This window comes from Homo sapiens, chromosome 11, assembly GCF_000001405.40.
Source record: "Homo sapiens chromosome 11, GRCh38.p14 Primary Assembly".
In the NCBI taxonomy this organism is placed as follows: Eukaryota; Metazoa; Chordata; class Mammalia; order Primates; family Hominidae; genus Homo; species Homo sapiens.
Window position 1 is genome coordinate 104,704,112 of NC_000011.10, and position 5,347 is coordinate 104,709,458.

A 5,347-nucleotide genomic window follows, 5' to 3' on the forward strand; every position below is an offset into this window, starting at 1 on the left:
TATAAAGAACATTTGAAAAGTAATTATTTGTAAGTAATATTATTTGAGATCACCAGGTTAGAGACAAAACTCATAGAAAGGGATATAAAATTTTGGAATTGTATATCGTACAAGAGAGAAATTAATTTCATCTTTCTAAAAAAGTCTACAAGTTAAAGTCTAATTTTTAAAAAATCAGTTTAAAAGTCTAACTTCCCTTTCTTAAGTCTTAGACCTTGGGTAAATAGTGAGGTAATCATGTACATTCCCATAAATGATGTTTTGCTTTCATGGGACACTGAAAAAATGTGCTATTCACATTTTTTCTTATTTTCAAGGTTTAGATAATTTTTCTAACATAGATAAAAGCAATGTATACATATTATAGTTACATAGTACTTTACTCTGAAAAGCATTTAAAGTGAAGTTTTATGAAATGTTCAGAAAAGGAAAATACATTTCAACTTGGCCTTCAGGGATTCTCAGCTAGGAATTGGCAGAGATGGAAAGTGGATGGAGAAGAGATCAGAAAAAAAGGAGAGAGCTGATTTGAAGGCACAAAAGCCAGAAAGCATAGTTGTATTTTGCAATAGAAAGGACTCCAGTTTGCTTACATTGCTGGATGCATGGAAGAGAACAGCAGGCTATAAAGGCCGAGAAGATGGTTTGAGTCTGGATTGTGCCAGGCTAAAGGATTTTGACTTTTTTTGTTAGGCAATAGGGATCCCTAAAGCTTTTAGAGTCTGGATAAGGAAGATAGATCTGCTCAATAAGAAGGATGAACTAACAATAGAGTCTTTTCTAGGATGCTACTGAAGGAATTGAGAGACAGAATATACAAATGAGTGAAAGCCAGACCATATAGAAAAATAGAACCCTAACCCACAATTTGCAGCTACCAGCACAGGATGCCAGCTTGCTACACATCTGACTTGTAGGAAGTCAGAATGTTATCTCTAATAATAAATCCAGGAAGCCAAACAATAACTCCTATTACAATTGACCCCAAATGACCAGGCCTTGATTAATAACTGACAACTTTAATAATTTTTGTCCCTGCTTCCAACTTAGGACCAACTAGAGAAAGCCAGTTATACACCTCTAACCAATTCCATCGATGCTTCACTTCTAGTTAGCCACCCCACAACAACAGCCTCCAATCAGGGAATAATAGTTGAAGCCTTTCCTCTTCTCAACTATGAAGCTTCCCTACTTTTCTGCTGCACTTTGAGTCTGCCAAAATGCAAGCAATGATGGCTGATTCCTTTGCAATTAAAAACTCTGAATAAATAAACTTTGCTTGTTCTCATTCAGATGGTCTTTGTTTACTTCCATAAAATACACTACCATTAAAACTAAGGATTCTTTTTTAACTAACAGCTTTATCAAGACACATGAATCTGTCCAGTCAATATAAATTGGATCTCCTAGTGTGCCAGGCAGTGTCAGGCAGTAAAAATGTAAGCATATACACTCTTGCCCTCGGAAAGCCTTTACACTGTGTAGGATAGAAACAAGTAAATATACATCATACACTGTCAAATACAAAACTGAACCCAAGTTAAAATTAACACAGGCTGATTATTCATAAATGTGCAGGAAGAGAACCCATCTGTCATCACTTTCATTTCAGCAGAGGTACAAGGATGTTAGAAATGAGAGTAAATTTTACCTGGTAAAAAAGAAAAAAATGCTGAAAGCGTCTCTAATTGGTGAGCATTACATTAAAGTGGGATGTGGAAGCAGAGACTTATTCAGGTATATTTGAGATTAGTTGGTGTGCTGGAACTAGGTGAGCCGGCATTTTCAGAATATTTCAAAACAGGAAGTCTTATTCAATGTTAGAGACTGAAGATTTTCTGTGGCTGGCCATTTCCAGGAACAAGTCTAGCTGACGGGGTGCTTTTGTGTGGTGTGTCTGTCATAATGGTCCTTAATGGAGGCAGAGGAGCTGGTATGGCAGGAAGTTTCTCACCACAGTATACTAAGTAATGAGTTTCTGTTAGTTTTATGTAGAGAGATCTGAATTTACAGATGAGATAATGTTGGTACTGCTGGATTGGCATTACAAAAATATGAAACTGCAAAAGTGGCTGCCCCCAAGATATCTGAAGACCAATTTATTTAAATTAAAAACAATTTATGGGCTTTTATGTGTGTGTGTGTGTATGTGTGTGTGTATATATATATGTGAAATTTTCAAGAACACAGCCTACACATAAAGCAGTACTGCAGACTGTCAGTCTATAAGCTAAAATTTTGTTTATTTATATTGGCTAGTGCTAAAAAATGGAATTTTCATGCTGTTAACAGTGACCTGTTTCCCATAGTCACTACTGTTGACACATCCTTATACCAGTGTATTTCACATATCCACATTAACTAAAAAGGCTTTGGGCTTGCAAGTGTTGAAGAAATATAATTAAAAACAAAATATTCTCTCAACCCAGAAATTATCCACAAAGACAGTAGAGAAAGAGAACACTTTTATTATTGAAAAAGCATTACACCATAATATGATGCACATCACAGGAAATCCATTAAGAGATTGCAAAGACAGAAAGGAATCTCTACCCCTTATATAATCAAGTAACCCATTACATACATTTTTCAAGATGAACAATAACTAGTTGTCAAGTAAGAGGACTGACAGCACCTTTTGTCACACAGTTCATCCTAACTTTACCTTGTAATTGGGGTGACCATCTGTGTTAGCATATTGGCTATATCGAGAGAGACAAACAAACAATCAAAACCATATACCTTTATGATAGAACATAGCTTTAGCTTTGCAAATTGGAGCAAGGTGCCCACAAAAGTTAGATTATTATCCTTCCACAGAAACTGGGAGATAGGAGCACTGTCTTCCTTTATGTTAACATTTATATTAGTCTGTTCTCATGCTGTTATGGAGAAATACCTGATGCTGGGTAATTTATAAAAAAAGGAGGTTTAATTGGCTCACAGTTCTGCATTGCTGAGGAGGCCTCAGGAAAGATACAATCATGGTGGAAGGCAAAGGAGAAGCAGGCACCTTCTTCACAGGGCAGCAGGATGGAGTGAGTGCAAGCAGGGGAAATGCCAGATGCTATAAAACCATCAGATCTCCTGAGACTCACTCATTATCATGAGAACAGCATGGCGGAAAACCACCCCCATGAGCCAATTACCTCCACCTGGTCCCGCCCTTGATAGGTGGGGATTATGGTGATTACAATTCAAGGTGAAATTTGGGTGGGGACACAGAGCCAAACCATATCAGCGTTTCAAAAAGATGGCTTCCAAGCTCTGAAAGGTATTCCTGAGTCATAAAGTTGACAAAAGACCTATCTAGTTTTCAAAATAATTTCTGTACATTTCGAAGAGAGGAGAATGTACTTACAATGATAAGGTTTCTAAAGTAAATGCTCTAATAAAAATGAGGATGAAGAAGTCCCTTTCTTTATCTCAATGGGGGAATTAAGTCTCTTATTTTTAATTTTTATTTATTCAAAAGTACCCCAACAAATTCACCTGAATTGCCCCCTCCAAAATGAAGTAGCTTAAGATGACATTTTAAAAATAATTCTCTTTAACAATGACAGTTGCTGGCATTTGTGTAGTGATTCTATGAACCAGTTTTAGGGAATTAAGAAACTTCCTAAATGCAGATTTTAGGGCCTTTGGTCATAGAAACCAATTAAAAAGACCTGGGATTCAGTTCAAATAGTTTCCTTCTTATCAAATTCTTTCAAGGCCATTTTGAGTCTTGTTATCCCTTGCCACTCCTTAAGAAATACCACCTATGACTACACAACCTCAGTGAAATAATAACCTCACCTAATTGCTTTTGAAATTTGCCTAATGGCTTTTGGGTCACCCTTAGGCTACTTGTTTATCCCAAACAATTAATAATTTCTAATTATGCCTGTAGTCACCTTTTTTATTTTGGCAAATGAAGTATTCCCTCTTCCATAACTGAGTGATTATCATGGCGTCAGTAATTCAGAGCATCCCCATACTGGACTCATATAAATTGCACCACAATGATGTAGCTTAAATATATTTTGAATAAGACATTAATTTTTTAAATATCTCATCACCATTATATTTAATTTATAAGCCAAAAAGAAGACTAAAACTAATGAAAATTGACAGTTAAATTTGAAATATATCTGTGACCTACTGCTATGTTCAATACATAAGCAAGTCCCAGACTTTTTTTAGTAATCAATCTTTCAGTTAATTTCCTCTTTATAGCACTACACTAGACCCCTAAGGCATGGCTAACTATCTTCAACTTAAGCGCTTCAGGCAATAAGTAGCAAAATTACTAACACAATTATGATGATTAAAGTGTTCATTTAAAAATGGTGACACCTACTTATAAGCAGCATAAGTGACAATAACTTTTTTAGTTATTTAAATTGTACAGCTGTAGCTTTAGAATTAACATAACCTGCATTGAGTAATTTGTTAAAATATTTTAGTAAGATAATAAGCTAAATTAACATAAATATTTAAGGTAAAGAGAATGCTTTAAGTCATTCTCTCAGAATAAAAGTAATTATATTTCCTTTAGAAACATGTTTTATTCACATGTTAATGTATTATTAATTCTTGGAGAAAGGCTTTCAATTATTCACTTTTTGTTTTTATTTGTTGTGATGATTTTTTACAGAACTTAGTGGAATAGAGAAATGTTTCTGCAAAGCATGTCTGGTCTATAGAAAAATAACAATTAGTATTGATTTTTATTGGGACGAACACCTGTAGTTTAAGGAAAACATGATATAATTCCTGTAGGTTATAATTCTATTTGGTTAGCTTAGCTCTTTCTTCAGTTTTCTATTCCTAGTGCCAATCCCCTGCAGCCATTGTCCCCCCAGAATAATACAGAATAGGAAACATACTGTTCTACCTGATCCATACCTATCTCCTTCAAGCTCTTCAAACATTTTAACCAGGTAGTACATTGCTGCTTCCTTCCCCCACAAAAAGGCCCATAGCCAGATGCATTGGTGCATACCTGTAGCCCCAACCACTCCAGAGGGTGGCAGGAGGATTACTTGAGGCCAGAAGTAGTGCACTATGACCACATGTGTGAATAGCAACTGTACTCCACCCTGTGCAACATAGCAGGAACTTGTCAAAAAAAAAAAAAAAAAAAAAAAAGCCAACGCTTGACCTTTCTAGCCCCTTCTCCACTACTTTCTATCTGTCCTCATCTAGACAGTTCAATTCAATTCTCTGTTAACTAAATACCATTTTCTTTTCCTGCCACCTTGTCTTTGGTTGTGATTTTGTTGGTGTTTCTTCCTGGAAGGTTCTCACACATTCTTCATCTAGCTTCCTCTCTTGCTAAACAATACTAATACCTATATTTCAA

At 35.6% G+C, this 5,347-nt stretch overlaps 2 annotated features.

Annotated features, from left to right (window-relative positions):
- Positions 1,570-1,699: an enhancer, noted in NCBI's record as "active region_5457". NCBI's record gives its function as "activates an Ori minimal core promoter by ATAC-STARR-seq in GM12878 lymphoblastoid cells {active_cell/tissue: GM12878}" and the evidence as "EXISTENCE:reporter gene assay evidence [ECO:0000049][PMID:35858748]".
- Positions 1,710-1,829: an enhancer, noted in NCBI's record as "active region_5458". NCBI's record gives its function as "activates an Ori minimal core promoter by ATAC-STARR-seq in GM12878 lymphoblastoid cells {active_cell/tissue: GM12878}" and the evidence as "EXISTENCE:reporter gene assay evidence [ECO:0000049][PMID:35858748]".